General features: G+C 45.3%; 1 protein-coding gene and 1 pseudogene across 1 annotated transcript, besides 4 other annotated features; both read right to left on the bottom strand.

The window, feature by feature from the left end:
• Positions 1 to 1752: 1752 nt before the first annotated feature.
• On the bottom strand, positions 1753 to 25813 carry ACTR5 (actin related protein 5). The gene is made up of 9 exons (NM_024855.4): positions 25420 to 25813; positions 24034 to 24263; positions 21973 to 22142; positions 19099 to 19316; positions 18234 to 18416; positions 8755 to 8871; positions 7896 to 8035; positions 6677 to 6809; positions 1753 to 2714 (listed from the first exon to the last, which is right to left on the bottom strand). The coding sequence occupies exons 1-9, from the start codon at positions 25792 to 25794 to the stop codon at positions 2457 to 2459; spliced, it is 1824 nt and encodes a 607-aa protein (NP_079131.3). The 5' UTR covers positions 25795 to 25813; the 3' UTR covers positions 1753 to 2456.
• RN7SKP173 (RN7SK pseudogene 173) lies at positions 12507 to 12745 on the bottom strand (annotated as a pseudogene).
• Positions 25578 to 25767: a silencer, noted in NCBI's record as "silent region_12903". NCBI's record gives its function as "represses an Ori minimal core promoter by ATAC-STARR-seq in GM12878 lymphoblastoid cells {active_cell/tissue: GM12878}" and the evidence as "EXISTENCE:reporter gene assay evidence [ECO:0000049][PMID:35858748]".
• Positions 25578 to 26337: a biological region, named in NCBI's record as "H3K27ac hESC enhancer GRCh37_chr20:37376699-37377200".
• Positions 25716 to 26217: an enhancer, noted in NCBI's record as "H3K27ac hESC enhancer chr20:37376699-37377200 (GRCh37/hg19 assembly coordinates)". NCBI's record gives its function as "activates a minimal SCP1, AML or CMV promoter by ChIP-STARR-seq in naive H9 embryonic stem cells {active_cell/tissue: H9 hESC(naive)}" and the evidence as "EXISTENCE:reporter gene assay evidence [ECO:0000049][PMID:30033119]".
• Positions 26068 to 26337: a silencer, noted in NCBI's record as "silent region_12902". NCBI's record gives its function as "represses an Ori minimal core promoter by ATAC-STARR-seq in GM12878 lymphoblastoid cells {active_cell/tissue: GM12878}" and the evidence as "EXISTENCE:reporter gene assay evidence [ECO:0000049][PMID:35858748]".

Below are 27630 nucleotides of genomic sequence, written 5' to 3'. Positions count from 1 at the left end.
AAACAGCATAATGAGTTGGTGAAGATGTGGAGGAACTGGAACTCTCATGCACTGATGGTGGGAATGAAAATGGTGCAGCTGCTATGGAAAACAGTACGAGTGTTCCACAAAAAATTAAAAATAGAACTACCATATGATCCAGCAGTCCCACTTCTGGGTATATATCCAAAGGGATTGAAATGAGGATCCTGAAGAGATATCTGCACTCCCATGTTAATTGCAGCATTGCCTGCAATAGCCAAGAAATGGAAGCAGCCTAAATGTCCATCGAAGGTAAAGAAAGAAAATGTGGTATATCCATATGATGGAATGTTATTCAGCCTTAAAAGGGAAGGAAATTCTGACACATGCCACAACATGGAGGAAGCCTGAGGACATTATGCTAAGTGAAATAGGCCAGTTACAAAACAACAAATACTGTATGGCTTCTCTTATGTGAGTTATCTAAAGAAAAACTCTTACAAAGTAGAATGGTGGTTGCAAAGAGCAGGGGATGGACAGAGGCAGGGGGAAGGGAGTTGATGGGTATTGAGTGTGGTTTTACAAGATGAAAAAGTTCTGGAGATCTTTTGACCAACAATGTGCACAGAGTTAACACCCCTGTTCTGGACGCTTAAAAACGGTTAAGATGGGCCCGGCGCAGTGGCTCATGCCTGCAATCCCAGCACTTTGGGAGGCTGAGGCGGGTGGATCATGAGGTCAGGAGATCAAGACCATCCTGGCTAACACAGTGGAAACCCCATCTCTACTAAAAATACAAAAAATTAGCTGGGCTTGGTGGCACAGACCTGTAGTCCCAGCTACTCGGGAGGCTGAGGCAGGAGAATTGCTTGAACCCGGGAGGCGGAGGTTGCAGTGAGCTGAGATTGCACCGCTGCACTCCAGCCTGGGCGACACAGTGAGGCTCTGTCTCGGGAAAAAAAAAAAAATGGTTAAGATGGTAAAGTTTGTCATGTTGTTTTGACCATCACCACCACAAAACTCAATATAGTTAAATTTTCTTCTTCAACTACAGTTTAATTTCCTTTGCCTCTTTTCCTTATCTATTACTTTCTTATTTCATTTCTTTTCAATGGAGTATCTTCCCCCTGTGCATCTTCTATTTAGGTTTGCGATAACCTTTCCTTTTTCCTTTGTTTACGGTCAGCTGTGGTCTTCCACTCTCTCCATCACCACTGCCCCTTCCCTTCCGGTCTGCAGTTTCTAAGCCCTTGAGAGCTGGAGATCCAGGTGATGACCCTTGGTAGACTGTATGAGCAAACAGGTTCTAAGGTGGCCTCATCAGAGGGGTGGGCTAGAGGCTCCATAAGATTTAAAGGTACAAATTCAGTGACAATATTAGCTCAGGGGCCTTCTGGGATCAATAATTGGTTGTCTTTGAGTTAAAATTCTCACCGAGCAATCTCTGTGAAGGTGAGGGGTTATCTGTCCACTTAAGACACAGCTGGGAAGGTACAGGGAATGGGAGGTTATGGCAAAACTGAACAGGCTACAGGATAAACCTCCTCCAGTCTTATCTTTCTTCCAAAAAGTCTGAAAAAGTTAAGAAGCCAACAAACTCAGAAGGACAGAAATAAAACATTTGTAGGCCTTGTATGGTGGAAAAGTTTACAGCAGAGAAAGTATGAACAAAGTTGGGCCACTGGCTCTGGCACCAAGCAAGTCCCTGGCTTGCAGAGTGACCTCACATGCTGGTAACTTTCTGGGCTTTTCTCCTTATCTGTAAGGGGAAAAAATAGGAGGAGGGAAATATTTCCGGTTCCTGAGGCAACTGCTTTTATTGAATAAACATTACCTTTTATGAAAAATGTATCTTTTTAGAGACAATGTCTTCCTATGTTGCCCAGGCTGGAGTGCAGTGGTTATTCACAGGTGCGATCACAGCACACGATAGCCTCGAACTCCTAAGCTCCAGCGATCCTCCTGCCTTAGCCTCCCACAAAGCTGGGCCTTAACAGGCACGTGCCACTGTGCCCGGCAATAAACATTACCTTTTTATATGCATGAAAGACCTCCCCTCACTGGGCATTCATGCAATTTCTGAATACATCCAGAAGAATAAAGTATCTACACGGACAAGATAAATTTTAAAGAATTTTTTTTAAAACAAGAAAGACTAAAATGTGGTAAGAAATCAGTCTTGTGCATTTTGTACATTTGTGTCCTCCACTCTGTCTTCATTTACTGCTCCAGGAAGCTGATGCCACAGCTGGCCACAGTTGAACAAAGACATCAGAAGGCCAGTTAGTCTCTACCACAGAAGCCCCCAAGTGAACCGAATTCTGAAGGGCAGGTCTCAGTGTCCCTTAACTTTGTTCTCCCCAGGAGAAATCCATTTTGCTGCCAAATGTGACCAGCAGACTTGGGCAGGTACATCTAGCACAATCACAGTCCTGTCACACTGCCAACGTGGCCCAAGGCATGGCGTGCAGGGCAGTCTCTCTGGAGGGCCTCTGCTATGCCTGCTCACCAGCACCACCTCCACCAGCAGCGGAGCCCTTGCTGGATGCCTGGGCATCTGAGGAGCGGGAGGCCTGCTTCGGCAGGCGGATGGGGACATAGATGTTGGAAGCACAGTGCTCCTTGAGGTACTCTCCTCCCTTTTCTTCATACTCTTTCCTGGTGATCCAAACTTCATTATCATCTAGGTGGTTCAAGGCCCAGTCACGAGCACCGTACCAGGCATCCAGCACAGGGTTCGAGGCAAGTTGAACCTGAAACACAAAGATTCACCAGGACACCTCCACCAGGGCTCCAGGAGTGAATGTTGACCTGGCTCAGCTACAGCCCCCGATATTTTATCCCCAGAAATATACACATAGGTGGGCCCAGTGCACTCCAAGACAGTTCGGGGCTAGCTCCACACCCTGTAAACAAAGGTGAGCTGGAATGCCCAGACTCTCCAGAACAGACGGCTGTCAGACATTTTACTAACATAAGACCTGACACTCGGGGTCAGAGAGGGGCCAGTGGCTCAGCCTCCTGCTGCCTGATGCTGTCAACCACAAGCTGTCAGGGAGAGGTGAAGTGGAGGCTGGCCCGTGACCTGGGGAAAAGGCCTTCCTGGCCCCGCTCCCCACTCTGAGTAGAGGGAAACAGGGGCCGCTGCAAGGCAGCTCTAGCCAGGGTAGCAAAAGAGCCTCAGGAGAAATGGCAGCAGAGAGGGGTGACCTGGGCGTTCTCTGTGAGGCTGCCAGCACTTAGTTTCCCCTGCTTCTCACTGGAGTTGGGCTGGGGTTCAGCAGCTCTGAGAAGGCCCTCGGCTAGGCTGATCTGATCATTATGGTAACACTGCAGCTTCCATCGGGCCTCCTGTGTTCTGGAGTTACCCGCCTCACTTCCTACCTCCCTCTCACCTCCCCACTCCACCAATCCCATGAGTTCCAGGTTAGAATGGTGATTTCAGAACTTTCGGGACTGAAGGGCAGAGGCCATAACAGTGGAATCAACATGCACAAATGGAGGTGGGAAAGTGCAGGCTCAGGAGTCCAGCTGCTGGGCTTGCCACGTGGGCAAGGGGCCTGTGAATGAGGACCTTGTCACTAGGATAACCAGAGGCCCCACCCCCTGGCTTCAGGGGATTTAAGTGCATGAGTGTAAGGCACATGGTAGATGCTGCCTGGTACAGAGTATTCAATAAAGCATAGCTGTCATCATTACTAATAAAAAATGCAGCAAGACATATGGTTAATAGACTATACAGCCATAAAAAGGATGCTCTGGAAATGTACCTATTGATATAAAAAAATTGTCATAATAATTTGAAAGTGAAAAAAATACAGGTTACAAAATAAGCTATCACCAATCTCTTTTTGGTTAAAACCATACATGAGATGAAAACGACTGGAAAGTATACAAAGAACATTGCTCGCAGAGGCTGAAACTACAGTTTTCTTGGTTTTCATTTTGGTTTAAATTGTCTGATATTTTTGTAATATTTAAAAATGTTTTACTGTTTAAGAAAAAACAGGAACTTAAAGTTGTAAATTTGCACATCTTGGGGTTCTCTTCCTTCTAATGATCACGGAGGGCCTTAGGTGGTTGGTATGTTTGAGCCACTGCTGAATACATAATCTAAAATTGGAACATTAGGGCTTAGTGACAGTGTGACACACTCATTACATTAGCAATGTGAAAGGGGGCAGAAACAGGAGGGGAGGGGGGAGCTGAGGCTAGGCCAGGTGACACCATAACAGCAAAAGCAGGGCTGGGAAAAGATCTGGCTGGTAGCAGCATTCCACAACCAATGCTCACAGAGTAATTCATGGGAGACTTTGGAAATTACCAAGAAATAGATCTTGAAAATCCTCTACGATTTTTTTCTCTACTACTTCATCCTAAGTCGCCGCTGCCAGCGTGACCCAGCCCCATGCTCATGCCCCTTACTGTCACCCCCTGGCTTCAGCACTGCTGCTCTCTCCTGCTCCCCACTCCTCTTCCTCCACCTCCTTCTTAGACTCATGGGTGTCCTACAGCCCTTAAATGCTAGTGTTCTTTAGGGGTTCATCCTTAACATCACTACCCTCCCAAAGAGTGCCCAGAGCACATTTTATGTTTGTGGCAGGTGGGAGGGTGTGAAACTACCCTCTTGCTTTCCCCCTTACCCACCGAGCGCTCATCCAGCTAGCTGTGGCCACCTTTTCGTGTGTCCACTGGAAACTCAACCCACCCTGGAAATGGAACGTACTATCCTCTCCCTTAAGCCTGTCCTCCCTCCCGCGGCTCCTCGTTCAGTGAATCTCTTAATCAGCAAACTAGTTGCTCCACTTAGAATTTAGGAATTATCTTAGGTCCGACTTCCCTCCCCAGATCCAACTTACTATCAAGCTCTGACAATTTGACTGCCTTAGCCTCTTTCACATCAACTCCCTCTCTTCCTCTCCCTCTGCCACTGCTTTTGTATTTCCTGCAGAGCTACCAAGTAATACTGTGCCAAGGGCTTGGGACACTTTTCACAAGACAGTGGCTGTCTCTTCCCTTACAAGAGGTGGATCTTGTAAGGAACATAGGGAAAGACAGGGAAGGCTTCCTGGAGGAAGTGATTTCCAGGAAACCAGCCACTGAGAAAGCTGGATGAGGAGAAAGAGTATTCTATGCAAAGGGAGCCAGCATGTACAAAGGCCCTGAGGCAGGAAAACTCTGGAAAACTAATAGTGGTTAGCTGTGGCTGACGAGCGGGTGGAAGGGGGAATGATGAGAGAACCCTGGACAGTTCTTAAGGTCAGAACACAAGAGACCCTGTAAATCCTGGTGAGTGGAGTGAGGACTTCCTCCTAGAGGCTGGGAAGCTGCCTCCTAACTGGTCTGCTTCCAATATTTCTCTTAATACTCTATTTTGCACAACAGTGTCAAATATATCTTACTAAATGTAAATCAGATCACATTCCCTGCTTAGACTCCTTCATGGTTCATCACTATGGCCTAAAAATAAGAGCTGTGCAGAAAAGAGTTAACAGGACCACCCTACTGTTACCTTAGAAAGGCATACTTACAAGGGTGGGGCCTTGGTAGGCATCTGGGAACTTGGATATTGGGAGGGTTCCTACCACCACCTGATAAGAATGGCTCAATAAGCCCATTCACACAAATAATGTGGTTTATGCCAAACACGTGCTTCCCTTCTGTGAGCCTGGAATTTGGGTATGCTCCAAGCAGGGGGTGCCTATGTGATCAGCCCCCAAATAAAAACCCTAGACACTGCGTCTCCTACAAGCTTCCCTGGTTGGCAACACTTAATGTGCTTTTACAAGGCACTGCTGGGGAAATTATGTCTTGTGTGACTCCACAGGGAGAGGCCTCGGATGCTTACACCTGGTTGCTCCCAGATTTCACCCCGGGCACCTTGTCTCTCTGCTGAGTTGCTGTAGTAAGTCACAGCTGTAAGTAGGATTACAAGCTGAGTCCTGTGAATCCTCCCAGAGAATCATCCTGCCTGGAATGGTCTTAGGGACCCTCAACACAACAGCTCATGTCTGAGAGTTTATTACATGCAGGCCCACTGTCGGGCGCTTGACAGGCACCAGTACACTGAATCCCAGCAACAGGTACCGATTACCCCCTTCCTACCACTGAGACAGCCAAAGCTTAGCACAATTCAGTAATGGTGATGATGGAGTCAGCACCAAAGCCCAGAGACGCCCCCCTGAATGTACACGACATCATGCAGCAAAGCAGAGCAGACCAAGGCCAAGCTTCTTAGCAGGATGCACAGGCTCTGCAGTGTGGGCTCTGCTGACCTCTCTACGTTACCCACCTCCTCTCCTCTTTATCAGCCATGTGCTCCAGCAACACTCAGCCACTTCTCACTCCCTCAACAAGCTTCTGGCCCCTGTGCCCTTGCTCATGCTAGTCCTTCTGTCTGGAACGCTCCAATGTATCCCATGCCCCACAATGTCTACAGGGGCCCGGACTGGGTAGGAGAATGACTTATTTTTGATGTACACTCTTTCACACTCTTAGAATTCTACGCATGTCTTCATCTTCCAATTTAAAGAAACCACAAAACAGTATATAAAACATGATTCCCATTTTGCTTTAAAAATTAAGCATGGACTTAAGACCAGAAGAAAAGCCACAAAAATGTTAACAGTGGATATTTCTGCATGATTATTACTTTTGCAATCAGAAAACAGGTAATGCTATTTTCAAAATAATTGACTACTCGAACAATCAGTACCTGAAAAGAAGACCGGAAGGGTCTCATCTCCAACAGTTCCTTCTCCATTCTGGCTTTCATGCCAGGATACATCGTGTTGCCGCCAGTGAGGAAAACGTTCTGAACCAGCATTTCCTGAATGTCCTTTGGGTACCTAGGAAAGAAACAACTCCTAATATAGTCCCTTAACTCAAATATCAGAACGAAATGTGGATGCAGAAATGTAAGCTCTCAGTACAAAACAGAAAAACTTCTACACAAAAAGCTAAAAAAAAAAAAAATCAAAACTTTCATTTTTCATTTGTGTCTCTACAAAACGCCAGCCCAATGTTTCCAAACAGCCAGACAAAACCGTAATCTGAATGGTCAACTTATTTCCTTAACATGATTAGAATTTTTATACTTTTATAATACATTTAAAAAATAAACTTGAGGATAAATTTACATACATTTTGATAAAGTCTAACTAATTTATACATTCCAGTAACCATCACTACAATTAAGACACAAAACATTTCCATTATCCCCAAAAGCCATGCCTCCCTTTTGAGGGCCCATCTATCGACCTGTGCTTTCTTTTTATCTTTTTTAATAACAGCTTTATCTAAGACATGTTTGATCACTTTCCAACCACTGTCAAGACAAAGCTCAAAGCCACTCAAACAAAGTAGCAGCAACAGCTTTTTCTTCCTTGCTAGGTACAAGTTTCCCTGCCGTTATGACCAACAGCAGCCAGAGTCCTACAAAATTCCATTCTCTACTTGCCCAACTTGAATTATCAAATTCACACTGCAGGAAAATGCCCGCATAAATGGGTAAAACACCTGGATTCTTATGGAAATGTAACTCTTAAATAAGTAAAATGCCTGCAAGGAGGGGAAAAAAATTTTATTAGCTCTGCAATATTTTTAGGGTGATTTAAAATCACTAGTCTTTAATAATGTGAAGGTTTACATGGAAACCAGTGTACATGTTATCGGGTTGTTCAAACTTAAAAGACACTCTTAAAGCTACTCAGTCAACCCAGCATTTACAGGTTCAGAAAACAACTACAGAGCCCCAGTTACGTGCCAGGCCTGGTGATAAGAGATGAAGGGAATACTATCTGAGCACAGCAAGTCAATGAAAAGAAGAGAGTGAGATGCATTTTCAAGTGCCTGACCATCAAATCTACCATTCAATGCAAAATCCAAGGAAATGGTTCAGGAAGATAGAAGGAAAAGCAGATTCGCTGTCTCACCTGTCCAGAATGTACTGAAGAGTCTCTGCAATCCCAGCCTGTTCTTCTCCTATGAGAGATGGCTGGAAAATAATCTCTGGAGCTCGAATTCTTTCTGTCCCAACAAATAGCTGATGATATGCTGCCAAGTTAAACACGGGCTTTAAAAACCCAAGGTTTAAAAGATATTTTTAGGCCAAATGACAAACATTCCAGTTGCTAGTTTCCTCAAACTGCGTTTCTTAATCCCAATAGTTTCTGTCCCTTGTTAATGCCAGTATAGCTTCTCCCAACTCTCTTGACCTGCTAATTCAATTTCCTACCTTCTTCCAACCTGTGTATTATAAACATGTACATGTTTCCATCATGAAATGGTCCCCGAGTTGCAGGGAGAGGCTTTGTGGAGAGCAGCAGTAAAAGGCCGAGTCTAGAGGACAAGTCTCCTGCTCAGTGCCTTGCTTAGTGCCCTATCCCTGCACGGCAAGGAAGCTCTCTCCCAGGTGGGTCTCAGACTCAGGACAGTTTATCTGGTTGGCATTGTAATGACAGAAACATAGATTCCAAAGAGGATTATGTGTACTGGCATTGGCTTAAATGTAAATGAAACTATTACAAGCCAGTATTCAGATCTCAAGTTCCCAATTACTTTACCAAATGTTTCTGCCGGGTGGACTGTTTCTCAGAGATTCACAGATCTTGGTACTAGAACCAATCGATCAATCACCGGGGGAAAAAAATCCCTGATTTCAGATGTTTTAAGTATTGGTACCCAATTTTCTAAAAAACATAACAGTTTTAAGTCCTAAAGAAACAGACTAGCCCAGCCATTTAGGTCAACACCTTCAAAGAATAAGCATGTTCTGGGCTGTAGAAGTCAAACCTGAACAGTGGTGACCGGCTTCTCCACTCCAGGTGTTTCCTCTGAAAACAAGGGATCAAAATCATTCATGCTTTCCACATCTTCCAAAGACGGCTCCAGCTGCTCCAGGTCAGGGGTCTAAGAGAAGGAGCAAAATGAAACAGAACCTGTACCTTCAGCAGGCCTCAGTTCTATCATTTTAGTGCCACAAAAAAGAACTGGGATCTTGCCCAATGTTCTAAAACCTTACATAAAAACTATGAAAATTTTTCTAAGCTATTTTTAAAAAAGCACACATGAACACGAAGACTAAAAAGCCAGGAACGGGCTTTGCTTTGATCTCCTACCTTTCCTACTTTATACAAGCCTCACCAACCCCCGCCTTCTCTAAAGCCTTCTGATGGTGCCAGCTCATGGCTGGGCCCCGTGGAAGACTTGCTGCTTGCATGAGTCACACCACCACACACGCAACTCTAAGAGAAGGGTGTGACAGCTGCTATCCTACAAGGCAGCTAGACTACCAGCAAAGTTAAAGCAATCTTTTAATAATTAATAAATACATCTGCTGGCCAGGGAGCAGTGGCTCACGCCTGTAATCCCTCTGCACTTTGGGAGGCAGAGGCAAGTGGGCTCCTTGAGCCCAGGAGTTTGAGACCAGCGTGGGCAACAGAGTGAAACCTTGTCTCTACAAAAAATACAAACATTAGCTGGGCGTGGTGGTGAGCACCTACAGCCCCAGCTACTTGGGAAGCTGAGGTCGAGGATCACTTGAGCCTGGGAGGTTGAGGCTACAGTGAGCCATGATCATGCCACTGTAATCCAGCCTGGGTGAAAGAGCAAGACTCTGCCTCAGAAATATAAATAAATGTATGTGCCAACGCTAATGAGCTCAACAATCAGTCCCTTAATAGCAGGTCCCACTGGGCTGGGAATGCGACTAGAGGCTCCAAGGTAGCAGAGTGCTTGCTATCTGTGGAGTCCTGCAGAACAAGTTCCCTCTATGACCACAATGAACCTGGAAGGGGTCTAGACATGCTGGCACCATTTCCAAAAGAGAAGTTAGGGTGCTTTTAATTTTAAACTGTACAAAATAAGTTGGGGATGGTGGTGGTTCTGAAAGACATCTTTAGCCATCTGTCATTAGACTCAATGGAGAGAAGTTCTGGGTAGAAATATTTAGTTGCATCCCAAGGAAGAATGCTGTAACAATGACAGCTGCTGCAGAATGGACTGTCTTATGAGGTAGTGTCTTGGGAGGGTTCAAGCAGAGTGTAACCAAAGCCAAGTATGCTTGAGAGGAGACTGCGCCATTGAGTATGCATTCTGAGTCTCTCCTTACTCTCGGAATTTATGAAGTATGTAAATCACCAACATAATTCAGAGGACTTAAATATACTTCTCTAGAACCTACTCATATATACTGCAAATGTAAACTAGCATTAAAATAAGGCAATACCCCTCAATACCCCACACACATTCACACACCAAAAGTCATGTGGCAAATATGGCATGCAAGATGGGTGACAATGTACTCTAAATTCTGTTCAGTATAGATGATTCTACAGTATTTGAGGGGGATTTTCCAGGCTTGAGGATAAACCCTGGAAAGGAAAGTGAATGTTTCTTCATGTGAGACTTGTGCACAGGATGAGGGGGCTGGTTTATAGAGGTAATCTGAGGAGGAGGAAGATGGGTTGGGTGACACGAATCTAAAGAACCTTGCTCTCAGGGAAGGAAGCAAAAGCTGTCCCTGCCAATACTGAATCAGACAAAGAGGGGAGGGACACCTGCTATCTGCACAACCCTCACTGCAGACATTACTGTATTTGATGGGTGAGGATGCTATGGCTCAGAGAGGTGAAGTAACTTGCCCAAGATCACATCACACTAGTAGGCAGTGGACATGTGGGAAGAGGCAGAACTGCTCAGTTCCAAAGTCTTTGTTCTGCCTTAAGCTGGAGTTCTATAAATCATGAGGCTAAGGATAAGACAATTGGGGCTTTAGGAACATGAAAACAATCTAGCCTGAGGTCAGAGTAGGTAATACAAGAGATGAATGAAAGATTTTACATGCAGCAGCAAGACCAGCTGAGGCAATGACAGGCTCCTCTGTCCCAGCAGGGACAGCAGAGAGGGAGTAAAGGAACATTCCCCTTGCCATCTGCAGTTTGTGATCTGGAAGACTCTCAGCTTCCCTCACAAGAAAGGAGCCCTACCATGGGAGTGTCTGTGCCTATTCTGGCTTGGCACCAAACCCAGCTCTTCAGGAATGACCCCAAAGGGGTTCCAGGGGAGGAATGGAAATTAATCATCAAAGTTCTTTTTCATTTGGTGGTTTGTCATCTGGGGGAACCAGGAACCAGGAGGCAGTGTGACATAACAGAAGGTGGTCAGGCTCTGGAGTCACACTGATCCAGCTCGGAATGGCAACCAAAGGTATATTAAAGGTCACAGTACTAGAGCTGGAAACAGTACACTCTGAGCTGCTTCTCCATCTATGTAAAAGTGGGACGTGAACTTAGGGCAGCGTCGGGTGAGAAACGAACAACGCTTCCCTCTTCCCTTTTAAACACACACTCAATTTGGTCCCTTAAATAATTCTGTTGTATTACTGGGTTGAAGACAAAGATGTCATCTGTGTATTTAAAATAACTACAGACAAAACCTGTAACCTGTGATTCCCCAAGTAACAGGTGAAAGCAAGCACTGGGCTCCACTGGAGTCCTTCCTCTCTACATCCCACATTTTTACCCTATTCTTCATCTTCATCCTAACCTCCACTCCAGCCTCCCTCAATCCAAGTGATGACCTTTCCTGTGGATTCACATGCCCTTCTCTACCCAGCCTGGAATCCAATCACTTTTGCCGTCATCCCTCCACCAACTCTATCTGCTTCTGTTACACCCAACCAGTAAGCCTGCAGTCTAAAGGATGCCTCCCAGTACTCTTTCCACTTGGGCTCCGGAGCAGATTATATTTTTAAAAGAAGGTCACAACAGTGACTTCTATCCCACACACTTTTCTGTAATGTGACCTTGACACTCCCCAAACAGAGGTGGAGGGTCTTTGTTTCCTCCCCTTGAGTCTCAGTGGGGGACTGTGAGGACTACAACCAACAAAGTATGGTGCAAATGATGTCATGTGACTTCTAAGGTAAGGTCCTGAAAGGTCATGCAGCTTATGCTTTCATCTTTTGAAACATTCACTCTCTAGCTGCTCTCTTGGGAAGCTCCCTCTTGGAAACCAGTGGCCACACTGGGAGGAGCCCAAGGCACACCAAGAGGCCATATGTGGGTGCCTGGGTCAAGAGTCCCCCATGAACCCAGACCTTGAGTCCTCCCAGCCCAGATACCAGACAGGTAAGTAAAAAACCCTCCAGCTGATTCCAGTCCCCAACTATTTAATTCTTCCCAGCAGTGGCTCCAGGCAACTTGAAGCAGAGATCCCTGTAGCCTCTCTCAATTCCTCACCCACCAAACCCATGAGCACAATAAAATGGTTGCTGTTTTATGCTGCTAAGTTTGGAATGGTTTTTGTAGCAATAGAAAAGTTAAATATGCTCCAGGGGGGCAGGAGTGCAGAAAGTCCCAGGTGCTATTTAGGCAATCCTGTGGTTACTTCTCAGCTTCCTTCTGCCTGCCCTTTCCCAACACCCTTCTCCACAGTCTCCTTTCTAATCTCAACCCTGGAAATCTTAAAAGATCATCTTAGTTGCCTCAAAAAATGAACTTCCCTCTTTATTCTTCATTCTACTTCCTTATCTATTTTCATGTCCTTGAGCGCTTGTTTGGAGGTTCTAGCAGGGGAGCGCAGCTACTCGTATACTCTTGACGGAAGATCAGTCCTCCTCTATTGGGGATGGTCGTCCTCTTCGACCAAGCATGCAGCTTTGGGAGAGACACACACGAAGTGGTGAGGACAGAAAGACACCAGCTTAGCCAGCCAGATCAGCCGAATCAACCCTGGCAATCAATGGGGTGACAGATATCGCAGCCAGATCACCCTCACATCCTATTTTCTTATCCTTTCAAGCTTTCCTTGTTTCAAAAAATAATTCTCATCCTAGGTTAAGCTGACCATTCAAGCTTTTAACTCTCCCATCAACCCTTTTGGCTTCCTTTATCTCTTACTGCTCCTGCTCAATCTTCGTCCTGGCTTTTCTTCTGTCACCTAACTTTCAAGTGGTGGCATTCTCCAGGAATTTTTCTTTTCTTCCTCCCCATTTGATTCTGTCCTCCCATAGCTCCACCTGATGTCCCACAGAGTGCTGAAAAGCTCCACCTGATGTCCTACAACAATTTTAAAGATAAGGAGCTCAGGGCCAGGCACGGTGACTCATGCCTGTAATCCCTGCACTTTGAAAGGCAAGGTGGGAGGCTTGCTTGAGGCCAGGAGTTCGAGAACAGCCTGGGCAACACAGTGAGACCCATCTCTACAAAAAATTAAAAAGCAAAAAGTTAGCCGGGCATGGTGGTGCACTCCTGTAGTCCTAGCTACTAGGGAGGCTGAGGTGGGAGGATCAATTGAGCCCAGGAGTTCCCAAAACAAAATCTCATCGTCTCATTCCCTTGCTCAACATCCCTGGAAGGCTCCGAATGTCTGAAGGATAAATTACAGTGAGCCATCATCACAACATATACTCCAGCCTGTGCAACAGAGTAAGATCCAATCTCTTAAAAAAAAGAAAAAAAAAAGGTGCTCAAAACTAAGCCAATTATCTTCCCAAACTTGGTCAAAAGGCACTACCATCTACCCACTGCCTTTCAATACAGCCTAAGGGTTACAAGGGTGGAATCTGGAATTGAACTGCCTGTGTGTGAATTTGATCAGCACTACTTCTAGCTATGTGACCTCACTCCAAATCTTTCCTTGTCTGTAAAAGGGGGATAATGATAGTACCTACCCATTGAGTTGTGAACACGAACCAGGAGGACACCTACGTAGGTGCTCAGCAAGGAGTCGGCACATGCCACATGCTCTATTATCAACACTGCTACTCTTGTCACCTTGGCTTGCAAATGGCAGCGAGATCTTGGGATCCTACATCTGATCCTACATCTGTTTTGTTTTCCCACCTGCAGTCTCACCCCTCCCTTCAACCCATCATCCTAACTGCCACCAGTTAGTTTCCCAAAACAAAATCTCATCGTCTCATTCCCTTGCTCAACATCCCTGGAAGGCTCCGAATGTCTGAAGGATAATATGCAGGCTCATAAGACTGATGGGTAAAGAACTTAATAGTCATCTCCACTTCATCACCCACCACAGCTTTTCTTGTTCACACTCTATATGCCTGCATGTGTGGTTCTTTCCACCTAAAATGTCCTTCCCTCCTCCTTTTGCTACCTACTGAAATCAAATAATCTTCCTTTTCTTTTTTTTTTTTTAGACAGGGTCTTGTTCTGTTGCCCAGGTTGGAATGCAGTGGCACAACCATGGCTCACTGCAGCCTCGAACTCCCAAGCTCAAGTGATCCTCCCACCTCAGCCTCTCAAGCAGAGACTACAGATGCATGCCCAGCTAATTAAAAAAATTTTTTTTAGAGATGGGGTCTATGTGACTCAGGGATTGGTCTCAAAGCGCTGGGCACAAGTGATCTTCCCTCCTCAGCCTCTCAGTGTTGGGATTACAGATGTGAGCCACTGTGCCCGGCCCAAATAATCTTTCAAGGCCCAGCTGAAACATCCAGTCCTTCTCAAAAAACCAAATGTGTATTCCCACACACATTTACCACCATACCTGCTACGCTTCATTACAGTCAGCTAAGCATGGTGCTATAGCCCTCATTTTTTGTTTTTGAGGTACCCAGGAAGGCAGGCATTGTATCTTAATCACCTCTGCATCCCTGGTATACTGCACCTGTCACTGAGTGGTGGGCCCCTGGGATACACCCTCAAATTCCCCTGAAATAGAGATGATTGTAAAGCTTTGGGTTTCAAGAGGTTTCTTCAGCTGCCAAAAAAAAATCAACATTCACCTTCACCTAGCTTCACTCCAAAGCATACCATCTTAAGATAACTTCTTAGCTTCACAAAAATTATAAAAAGGACATTTATTTATCCCAATTCATACAAGTCGCAGAGAGGAACAAAGCTGATCATTTCAACACAGAGAACAGGCATCCAACAGAGAATAGTTTTCTCTGCCACGGCTGGCTTCTCTCTCGCTAGAGTTTGCCAGGGTCTCCACATGTCTTATGTGGCGTTCAGAAACACTAATATGACTGTTCTTTTGGAACTGCAGGGAATGACAGTTTGCCAAGGCATACCACAGAAGATGCAGCATGGTTCCCTAAAACAGCCTTGAGCGGCATAAGAAGAAGCAGAGGCCAACCCTGATCTTGGCTAGTAAAGCCGGAGAACTTTCTATATTTGGCCCATTGCGTTTTCCAACAAATGATGATGCTCAAAACCTGTGTTCTCCCCCCTCCTACCCTCTTATGCTGTGCTTGTAGCTATGAAAAGCAAGCATCTTCTGGTTTAAATACTTGGTAAAAATGCTAACAAAGCCTGCTCCTTCACAACATCCTCACAGAAACAACTGCAGAATAGCAAGGGTCAGAATAGATTGGTCTATAAGAAAAAATAGATTTTCGAGACCTCTATTAGTTAAATTCCAGCTGTATTAATTCAGTTCAGCCATTACTGCTTAAGTGCAATTTCAATATGAATTTTGGTTCACATATATTGATTCAATTCATTCTAAATGAATTATATTATTGGAAACTCTACAAATACTTTTTGAATGGTAGAACTGGCTAGCCATTGTCATGGTCAAGTTTATCCCACAAATGTGACTGTAATTGACTCTGATCATTAAGAATTACCCTAAAATGCTGAATGCTGACTAACCATTAAAGCTTTGACGACTGATCATCACTTTTTTTTTTTTTTGAGACGGGGTCTTGCTCTGTTGCCCAGGCTGGAGTGCAATGTCACAATCTCAGCTCACTGCAACCTCCGCCTCCTGGGTTCAAGCGATTCTCCTGCCTCAGCCTCCCGAGTAGCTGGGATTACAGGCGCCTGCCCCGACGCCCGGCTAATTTTTCTATTTTCAGTAGAGACAGGGTTTCACCATGTTGGTCAGGCTGGTCTCGAATTCCTGACCTCAGGTGATCCACCCACCTCGGCCTCCCAAAGTGCTGGGATTACAGGCGTGAGCCACCGTGCCCGGCCCAACTGATCATCAAATTTGTTGCATATAGAAAAATCTTTTGCAGTCCGGCATTTCAAAATCCCCTAAACCCAAGGAGATTTAAATGTGTGTACCAGAGCATAAAATGAAGTAGGTACCTACTGAGTATCTGCTGAAAGAATGGGGGAATGGGTGATGAATCACATCATGTAACAAATGCAGACAAATGAACAAAGAAAAGGAAAAACTAGTTTCCCCACTGCTGAAGAATCACATCTTCACAGCTGTTTGGTTTTTTTTCCCTTTTTGAAATCTGAAATCCCTCATCTGCTTGTGGCTGAGTGGCACTGCTCTGGTATAAAGAAAACTATGTCCTGCTAACATGTCAAGCATGATAAAAACTAAATATGGATGAATACATAACAAAGACAACATGGTTCCGGATTTCAGTAAACAACAACTCAAATCTCAAAGACCTGAAAAACCAAGAGAAGCAAAATGGAAAAGGCACACACTGATTCAACTGAGGCTGATCTGGGATGCTGTGTTGGAAGAAGATGGTAAAGGCCCCTTCTACACAAGATCTTGGTGATCCAATAAGGTGTATCTAGTAAGCCTATCTCAGGATCTGCTCTATAAAGCATACACTCATGTACTGTCCTCACATAATCGACAGCCTGGGAATGAGATGTAGAGGATGCAACGGTGAGAGCAGAACCTTGAGCGAGCCTCCAGCTGGGAGCCCATCACTGCAAAAGCAAGCTTCCTGTTGAGCCAAAGGCAACTCTGACATCACTGATAAGCACTATGCTACACCCAGCATCAAATGGCACTGACTTGCATTTTTCCAAAGTATCATTTTTTTTCTGAAAGGATAAGTAATCAACAGCTTAATGAAAGCTGATTTAAAAAGGAAAAAACAAAAAACAAAAAACAAGAGGCTAGTCTGGTTTATCCTGCCTAAAACATGTCTCAAGGCAGTAAGTTCCTTTGTTTTGGAATTCTAGGGATGACAGATCCAGGAACAGGATGTACACTTACTCTTTGTTTCAGTTCTAAAGGCAGGCGACTCAACCAGCGACTTCTGGACTGAGGAGTGACCTGCAGGCTGCCCCTTTGCCATACAGGAACTAAGATGCTGGGGCCTAAGCTCTTTTGGCTACTTCGACACTTATTAACAGCCAAGCATGGTGGCTCAAGCCTGTCATCCCAGTGCTTTGGGAGGCTGAGGTGGGAGGTTCACTTGAGGCCAGGAGTTCGAGACCAGCCTGGACAACTTGGTGAGACCCCATCTCTACAAAAAATTGTAAAAATGACTTAGGCATGCTGGCGTTCACCTGTAGTCCTAGCTTCTTAGAAGGCTGAGGTGGGAGGATCCACTTAAGCCCAGGAGTCTGAGGTTATATTGAGCTATGAACATGTAACTGCATTCTAACTGGGCAACAAAGTGAGACCCTGTCTCAAACAAACAAAAATACTTATTTATTTATTTATTTTTTTTGAGATGGAGTTTTGCTCTTGTTGCCCAGGCTGGAGTGCAACGGAGCGGTCTCGGCTCACTGCAACCTCTGCCTCCCAGGTTCAAGTGATTCTCCTGCCTCAGCCTCCCAAGTAGCTGGGATCACAGGCGTGTGCCACCACACTCAGCTAATTTTGTATTTTTAGTACAGACAGGGTTTCGCCATGTGGGCCACGCTGGTCTTGAACTCCTGACCTCAGATAATCTGCCTGCCTGGGACTTCCAAAGTGCTGGGATTACAAGCGTGAGCCAGCACGCCCGGCCTCAAAAACACTTATTAACAGTGCACGGGTGAGGAAACAGAAGAAGAAGAAGAAGAGAAAATCAAAGAGCTTATGCAAAGGGTCTTTAGCAACTAATAAAAGGCTGATCTTAAGGCAACCTATACATATATTATTGAGCATAACTACCAACTGCTGTAAAAAATTCATAAATCATGTATGAAGCATGATCCCTGTCCTTAGGGAACATCAAGATGGAAAGGAGGTAAGTGAACAATCAACCACAATATATTTAATAAAACACTAAAAGAAAATTAAAGGAAGTATATGACTGCCAATGACTATCAGTGGAGCTGGTTTAGGTTCAAGACAGCACCACAGGTTTGGTGTGTGAATGTTCTTCCTACGTTAAATGCACTTTCTGCGCTCAGGGGTCCGGGGATCTACAGGGTGAAATCCCTTCTGACAGAATTTCAGTTGGTACAAGGTCAGTGCCATCTCCACCACCACCCACATCCCCTCTGCTCTCTTTCCCTCCTGACTCTGGGCACAACCCCTTTGATGTCAGGCCTCTCAGGACACTCCTCCCCTCAAGAAGGGCTGCTCCTTCCAAGGCCCTAAGTTACCTCTGGCTTGCTGTCTACCACATCCACCTCGAGGTTGACTTCCGCTTGGAGGATTTTCTGCTTAGCCTGCTCCACTGCTATACTGAGCTTCTGGATGTAGGACTGCAGCTCTTCTGGGGAGTCCATATTCAGCTCTATCAGAGCTTTGTGAAACTGATCCATCTGGCCATCCTCTAGAAGTTCCTGAAAACAGAGCAGTCACAAACAGGAAGGAAAGTAGCTTCAAAGCCAAACGGAGAAAACGACAGCTGGAGAGGGCTTCCAGAGCTCCCCTGGCCTACCCTGCCCAGAGCCACGCCTCCAGCTGCCTCCAGTTTCACACAGCTGCCCACCTCTCTGTCTCTAGGCTAGCATTGCATCACAGTTCCAGCAACAACTGATTAGGTAAAACTAATGATGGTGACAGATGTCTAAAAGGTTGTTACCCTTTTTTTTTTTGGTGGGGCGGGGGATGTGAAGGAAGGTGGGAAAGTTACTAAGAGGAGACATGAAAGGAGCCTTCTGGAACGCTGACAATGCTGTTTCTTAACCTGACAGCAGATACACGGGTGAGTTTCACTTTGAAAATCCATCAAGATGAAACATAAAGATTTGTGCACTTTGCATCATGTATGCTACACTTACAAAGTTTAAAAACATAAAGGAGTTTATAAGGTGAAAATAAATAATGCTGGAGTCCACAGCTCTTTCAGAAACAGCTGCTTCTACACTGTATTCTATGCTGATGATCCCCCTGGACTCCTTCGTGACCCCAAAGGTGACAAACAGTCAAAGCATCTTAAGGCCAATGGAAAAATATGCAAGAAAATCTTCTGAGACTATCTTGTTAACACGGAAGGGCGCCCGTCCCTGTGTCTGCTATTACCTGCACATATAGCAGTCGGTCCAGACGCTCCTGATCCAGCTGCAGCTTCTCCTCCCGCCGCCGGGCATTGAGCTCCTGCAGCCGCCGCAATTGCTGCTGCCGCCTTTCTTGTTTCTCCTCAGAGGTCAGAGTGCTGCCCAGGAGCTTGCTGGAAAATGGGAGCTGCATCTTGTGGACATTATTCTCATAATAATCAGGACACCGCCATTTGTGTAATTCTTCAAAGAAACAATTTTGAAAGTTATGAAATGGAAACACTATTAACACAACAATTAAAGTCAATACCAGCTGGGCGCAGGGGCTCACGCCTGTAATCCCAGCACTTTGGGGAGCCGAGGTGGGCGGATCACGAGGTCAGGAGATCAAGACCATCCTGGCTAACACAGTGAAACCCTGTCTCTACTAAAAATACAAAAAAATTAGCCATGCGTGGTGGCGGGCACCTGTGATCCCAGGTACTCGGGAGGCTCGCCCTGTCACCTAGCTGGAGTGCAGTGGTGCGATCTCGGCTCACTGCAAGTTCTGCCTCCCGGGTTCACGCCATTCTCCTGCCTCAGCCTCCTGAGTAGCTGGGACTACAGACGCCTGCCACCATGCCCGGCTAATTTTTTTGAATTTTTAGTAGAGATGGGGTTTCCCCATGTTACCCAGGATGGTCTTGATCTCCTGACCTCGTGATCCACTCGCCTCGGCCTCCCAAAGTGCTGGTATTACAGCTATGAGCCCCCATGCCCGGCCGACTCCATTGTTTTTTTTAAAGTCAGTACCAGCATTTCAGACATAGGTCAGATGGAGAAAATACACTCCATCCAATCCCTGAATCCACTCAATCAACTAAAAGCAGCTACCAAACCTGGACATAATGCCAGCAGGCCTGTTCTAAAAGAACTGCTAAGTAAGTTCTTCAGCGAGAAACAACACCAGAAGGAAGCTTGGAGCATCAGGAATGAAGGAAGAGCAACAGAAATGATAAAAATCTGGTTAAACATAACAGACTAATCTCCTTACGAGTTCTTTAAAACCTATTTGACAACTGAAAGTAAAAATCACAACACTGTCTGATGGGTTTCCAATGTATACAGATGAAATAAATAAGACAACTTTAAGATAAACCGGGCGAAATAAAGGAGTCTGTACATTGCTAACATTTCCACATTCCCCTTGAAGTGGTAAATACAGAATCTAAGTAGACTGTGAAAAGTTGTGTTTACTGTAATCTCTAAAGCAACCACTAAAAACTACAATAAAAAGGTAGAGTAAAAAACACAACAGATAAAATACTTTAAAAAAAAAAAAAAAAAGCTCGAATAACCTAAAAGGAGGCAGGAGAGAGAAACAGAGGAACAATAAACAGAAGGAACAAAAACAAATAATAAAATGGTGAACCTAAATCCAAGCATATGAATAATTAAAACTAATTATAAATGGTTTAGTCTAACAATTAAATAGAGGTTGACTGAATAGATTTTTTTTAAAAATCATCCAACTACCAAGAAATTCACTTTGAATATAATGATATAGGTAGATTAAAAGTAGAAGGACGGAAAGACATACCATGCAAGCACATGACCCAGCAATCTATTTACTCTGGAGAAATGAAAACAAGTTCACCCAAAAGCTTGTCTCTATCCCAAGCCCAGGCAATCTTTCCCTCACTTCTTCTCTATCACTATGGTTTTATCTTTTCAAAATGTCACATAAATGGAATCAAATAGTATGTACCTTTTGAAACTTTTTTTTTTTTTTACTCAACATCATGCCTTTGAGATTCATTCAAGTTGTTGAGTGTATCAGTAGTTTGTTCCTGTTTATTGTGGATAAAAACAGGATATGATTATAAAGAGAAAGCATATGTAATCAACACCACAATCAGGATACGGAAGAGTTCATCATCCCAAAAAATTCCCTCATGCTCTCTCTTTATAATCATATCATAGAATTGTAAAAGAAAAAGTTAACTAAAAAAAAAGAGTCAATACCAGAGCAACTGGAGAACAGAGAAGTGGGAGCACGGAGAGCTGTGTGCCTCAGCCGTGTCTTCTGGCAAGCCTCTAACTCTCCGGACTGAGTGTCCTCATCAATTATTTATTTCCCTATCTGTCTCCCGCAACTTCTTTGTATCCCAGGAATAACAGATGTTTAATAAATGCTTTCTAAAGTTAATTAAAACACAGCTCTTCACACATGAAACGTATACTTAAAAATGGTTAAAATGGCAAATTTATGTTATATGGTTTTCACAATTAAAAAAAAAAGATGCAGTTTTTGTCCTTCAGGAGCTCATTATTGGTCAGCTGAGATCAGTACCCTCAATGACAACAAGCAAATCCATTCTTGGAATAGAGTTGTATTCACAGTGGCATTGTCCGTAGTCCTTTGGTTTTATATGAACTATTTAAATTCACGAGGAAGATATTTTCATCACATTCATGTGACAATAGCAACTAAAACTCATACTTTAATTTGAAGTAAAATACAACCAAAAGTCCAAGACAAGTTTGAAAAGAAAAAGAGGTGTTTCTGCAGCATAGATGTTATTATAAGGGTATAATAAAACAATTTCAATTGTTTTCTAGCTTAAGATATTTTTAGTCTGATATGTTCTGCTCACTCTTAAAAATATTTAATATCTGGAAAAGCTGAAAGTTGTGCAATTCCAAGTTCTGTATTAAAGGCAAGTTATAAAAGCTACCATTTGTGAAGGGAACCTATACAACATAAGTTATCAGTTTACTGAATAGTTTAAGAAAGGGAATACAAAAAGGGGAAGGAGGTGCTTAAAAAGTGAGCAAGCAAAGAATCATGCTGGCAATAATTTAAGGAATACAAGGTAGACAACACCCAAAAGCTGCAGGCAAACATCCTCTTGGATACCTTCCACATAATCCTCAGCGATGTAGCTGTGCTCATGCAGAATCTCCTCCATGCGGCTGAGGGTGATGGCTGCCAGGTGCCCAGGGTACTTCAGCTGGAGGAGACGCTGGAGGTAACCAGCTGCTTGGCTTCCTCCAAGATTGATGCGCTTGCAGTTTTTAGCATCTAATCTATAACCAAGCAGTAGAAAACAGCACTGAAATTTCTGGAGGACAGAAATATGGAGCATCTTGGGAGAAACAAGATAATTTAAGGCAGATAAAGAAGAAACAGACCAGCAGGAGAAATACAAAACCTGATAGTCAGAAGGGACGTTGAAGTTCCCCTGGTATAACCTCTTATCTAGGCAGGCATTCCTAGCTCACCCATACAGTCACACGGCCACCTAACAAGTATGCACTCCAGTCAGATCTTAATGAGTCTCGTCATATATTTCTCAAACTGTAGTCCTGGGACCAGGTATCCCAGAATTAGCTGGGGGAAATTTTAAACATGCCAATTCCCAGGACACAGCTGCTCTGGGGTGGGGCCTGGGGATCTGCATTTTAATGAGCTCCCTAGGTGACTGAAGGCCAGAGTTTAAGAAGCCCTCCCTTAACACTCCACATCTACTGAAGCAAACACGTTAAGTAACCACACGCATCCTGACTTACTGTAAAAGAACCAGAATAATTTTATTTTCCTAATGTGAGAAAGTAAGTGGCAGAGCACTAGGAACTTACTGTAGGGAACTAAAATGTCACTGCTGTATCATACCTCACCAGCAGATGCCAGCATAGAACACGATATGATTCACTCTGATAATTTCCCAGCCTTCAGGTAATTTTCTCTCAATATAAAATATGTTACTTTTTATTTTTGCATATTCTGTTTACATAGAGAACTTCATACATCAGGAGCATTTGGTAACACCTAAGAATTACTTTTTTCTTCAAAAATTTTCATAGAAACTTCATGAGAAATTCAATGGTATTTGCCTTATATGTTCAGTCTGCTTTACAGTTTACAAAGTGCCATTACCTACCTTATCTCATTTCATTCTCAGGGTAACCCTGGGAAATCAGTTTTTCCCAATTTTACGTATCAGGAAATGAAGTGAGGAAGTTAAGTAGCAGAGCTGCAAACCCAGGCATTCAGCTGTAAAGCGTGGGTCTCTTTGTGCCAATGTGAGAAACCTCAGGAGAACACAGTGGTGGCCTAGGCTCTTATCAGACAGTTAAAGCTCAACGATAAAGTGGCAACAGATTTTTAAATATGACATAAACTACCCTTGCCTTTTATTCAACTTGAAAATATTTAGTAAGGGTCCATTACGTGCCAGGCACTGTACCTGAAAGGTCTAAACAATAGTGATTAAATAACTTGAAATTGGCTGGGCGCGGTGGCTCACCCCTGTAATCCCAGCATGTTGGGAGGCCAAGGAGGGTGGATCACTTGAGGTCAGGAGTTTGAGACTAGCCTGACCAACATGGTGAAACCCTGTCTCACTAAAAATATAAAAAAAATTAGCCAGGAATGGTGGCAGGTGCCTGTGGTCCCAGCTACTCGGGAGGCTGAGGCAGGAGAATCAATTGAACCCGGGAGGCGGACGTTGCCCTGAGCCAAGATCCCACTGCACTCCAGCCTGGGCAACAGAGCAAGACTCTGTCAAAAAACAAACAAACAAACAAACAAAAACAAAAACAAAAAAAAAACAAAAAAAACTCCAGAACACAAAGATGGTCTCGATTAAATTTATTCAAAACATTTCTACTGAATGCCTACTACCTGCAGATACTATGTTAGCTATCTCCCCATTATGTCAGAATTATAATATTGTAGAATTATGGATGTGGAACTAAGAGATCATCCACCCCAACTCCCTCCAGAAGGTCACAAAGGACACAACTATGGGCAAAGGGACTTACCCAGTCACACAGTGAGGTAGTTCAAAGCTAAGCCCAACGGCTCAGTTCACAGGCTAGTACTTGCTCTTTCTACTCTGCCTTTAAAGCACGCAGTAAATAAATGTTTCCTGAATGCTTCTCAAAATCGCACTCAAATGCCACAAGTGCAACTCACCTCCCTTCTAAGATGGGTAAAACATGCGTACACTGGTATCCAGATGAAATGATTAGCCCACTGCACATCGAGTTCTTTGGCTTATTGTGGTAGAAGCTGAAGAGGCTGTCTATTCCATAGGCAACCTTGGGAATCCCGTAGCACTCAAAAAGAAGCTCAGACATCATTTGCCGTGAATACAGTGGGTTGCACACAGCTTCTGTCAAAACTATGGGATGATCAACACAGCCCTACTTTGAAAGAAAAGGGCAAATAAATGAGTGGTAACAGAATACTCTTTTTGAAGCATAAAAGAACCCAAAATCCTTATTGCAGGACTGAATTTGCTTTTGGCTTCTTAATCAAAAACCTGATCAGAGGCGATTATAAAACTCCCATCTCATCTTTACTTGAAAATACGAAAGTAGAGTCAATTTAAGTTATTAAGTCAAGGTCCCATCCAAACTGTCAGCAAATCGTGTTGGCTCTATCTTCAAAGTATTTCCAGAATCCAACTGCTTCTAATGACATTCCCTGCTATCTGCCTCATCTAAGCCACCATCATCCCTTACCTGGGTTATTCCAACAGCCTCCTAACTCGTCCCTGTTTCCACCCTATGATCCAAGACAATTCATTCTCCATACAGCAGTAATAGTGATCCTTTTAAAACACAAGTCAGGTCCTTCTTCAGCTCAACACCCTGCCATGGCTCCCCATTTCACTCAGTAAAAGCCTATAAGGTGTGTGATCTGCCTCTCCACTACCTCTCTGACATCCTCTTTCAGGTACTACTCTCCCCCTCACACAGGCAGCCTTGCAGTTAGGATTAGGGCACACTCCTGCCTCGGGGCCTTTTTACTGGCTGCTCCCTCTGCCTGGACCGTTTTTCCTTCAGATATTCACATGGCTTGCTACCTGAATCACCTCCTTCAAGTCCTTGCTCAAACATCACCTTCACGAGTCCTACCCTGACCATCTTACTGAAAAAATGTAACTCCCTCCTCTCCTATCACGGCGTAGAATCTACTATTTCTATGTTTACTGTCTGCCTTTTCATACTAGAATATCTTTCCATAGTATTAACAGCTCCATAAGCACAGGAAGTTTTGTGTTCACACATGTACTCCAAATGCCTAAAAAGTGCCTGACACAGAGTAAGTGCTCAATACGTATTTGTTAATAAATGGGCTTCTTAACAAACAAGCATATATGCCCAAAGGTATGCTCCAAGATACAAGGAGCAGCATTTTATTCGCTGCTACACCCACAGCGCCTAGCATCTGGTCGACTAAAAGACAATCGGAGCTACTGAAGTGACTGTTACCTCTCCGAGAGCAGAGTGAGCGGAGACGAGACCGCACCCCTCCCCTCAAACCCAGCCCAGCCCAGCCTACTCCGCCCTTCACCTGTGAGGAGACACCCAGGTGCTGGAAGCTGTAGTCCAGCAGCAACTCCTGAAGCTCCAGGTTGACCGGCACGTTGCGGTCGAAGGGCGAGCGCAGCATCCAGCGCAGTGGCTCCAGGCTGCCCAGAGCGTTCCCCACCTGCGGGCCCGACGCGCCCCGTGCCCCGCCACGACCGCGGGCGCACACCGCGCGGAACTGCAGGCGCGGCTCGGGACCTGGGTCCTGCCCGGGACACGCCCAGCCAGCGCGGACTTGGAACGACCCGTTGTCCAGCACCAGCGGTACCGGCAGTGGCCCGTGTGCCACCGGGCCGGCCTCCAGCACTGGGTCCGGTGCGGCACGGGCGTCGCGGAACGGGAACACGTTCGCCGCCATCTTGGAGCGCGCGTCCAGCCCCGCCCCTCGGCGCAGTGTCCGCCCAGACGCCGCGAAACCGCGCCCCCGACGTCACGCCGCGCGATTCAGGCCTTTAAGTACCTCGATGCCCCCTCCCTTCTCGAAGCCCGGCCAGCCTTTCCACTTGACTCGCCTCTGGCTGTCAAGGCTGCTTTCAGGATCGCTGAGACGTACCCATTCTGGCTGCGAAATTCTACGTTTCTTAACCTCTCCCCCAATAGCCTATGAGTGCCCACGCCCCTTCACTCTAGCCGGGACGCCCGGTTTGGAAGCCCCGCCCCAAAGCCTATCGCCGCCAGGCCCCGCCCCTTTCTGGCTGCCAGCTTCAGCGCCGCGCTCGGTGGAGCCCCGCCTCTCTGCCTGGCCACGCCCCATTGCCGGGCGCGCACCGTCGGCCGGGCGCGCACCGTCGGCCGGGCGCGCACCTTCGACCGCCGGCGGCCCCGCCTCCGCGTGGCTGTCTCGCCCTCAGTCTTGCGTCCTGGCTAGAAGGGTCCTTTATCTTTTGACGCTTCCTTTACGTTAAGAAATCTCAAACTCTGCCGACTGTTCAATTTCTTGACTAGGGAGCTGACTACTCAGTTCTGTTCACTTTACTAACTCGCACAGACTGTGTCTTCTCACTAAGACACAGTGTTTTCTCAAACCCTGAGAAAAGACTGCTGATTGTTCCCCAAGCATTCCCTCTCTTTTAGTGGCATCACCTCCCACTCCCACGTGGCCATCCGTCTGGCTGCGATCTAGATGCGCTCATGTGACTAAATTCTGGCCAGGAGCGGGTGGGAGAGGAGGCCATGTGTGTGACCCACTCAGTTTTAGCCCTAAAAGCACTCGTCGCGCTCTATCCTGTCGCATTTCCATCTTTTCACTAGCTAAGGGGGTAAGAATTAGAGCAGTTGTTTTACTACAACCTTTTTTTGTGCAGTGGGGCGATCTCGGCTCACTGCAGCCTCGACTTCCTGGACTCAAGTGATTCTCCCGCCTCAGCCTCCTAAGTAGCTGAGATTACAGGCGTGCACCACCACGCCCAGCTAATTTTTATATTTTTAGTAGAGAAGGGATTTCACTATGTTGCCCATGCTGGCCATAACCATTTTGAAAGAAGAAAAAGAATAGAGCAGCTGCCTTGAATCTACTCTACCAGGTCTATAACACTTCAGTTTGAGAGATAAAATCAAATTAGTTACAAAAGATATTGTAAGCGAGAAATGAAACTCCTAACTTATCTCAAGAACCTCTATTAACAGTGTTTGTTGTTGTTGTTGTTTGTTTTTTTTAAGACGGAGTCTGGCTCTGTCACCCAGGCTGGAGTGCAGTGGTGTGATCTTGGCTCACTGCAACCTCCACATCCCCGGTTCAAGCAATTCACCTGCCTCAGCCTCCCGAGTAGCTGGGATTACAGGCATGCTCCACAACACCCAGCTAATTTTTTTTATTTTTAATACAGACGGGATTTCGCCACGTTGGCCAGGCTGGTCTCGAACTCCTTGGCTCAAGTGATCCGCCTGCCTCGGCCTCCCAAAGTGCTGGGATTACAGGCTTGAGACGACGGGCCCAGCCTGTTAACACACCTAAACCAGATTGGGAGCCAGCCCAGTGGCAAAAATCAGGTTGTGTTGTCTTTCAACACACGTCCATTGTTCAGATATCTGAAGTAACCATCGTTAAGTTAATTAAGAGGGGGACCAGCAGAACACAGAAACCAGTAAATGTAAGTTAGTGAATGTTAATTTAAGAATTGTGTCTATGTATATTAATATGAAAAAGCACTGGCTGGGCGCAGTGGCTCACACCTGTAATCCCAGCACTTTGGGA

Source organism: Homo sapiens, chromosome 20, assembly GCF_000001405.40.
Source record: "Homo sapiens chromosome 20, GRCh38.p14 Primary Assembly".
NCBI classification, from domain to species: domain Eukaryota; kingdom Metazoa; phylum Chordata; class Mammalia; order Primates; family Hominidae; genus Homo; species Homo sapiens.
Note: the sequence above shows the minus strand (reverse complement) of the source record. Positions and strands in the feature narration are given on the sequence as shown.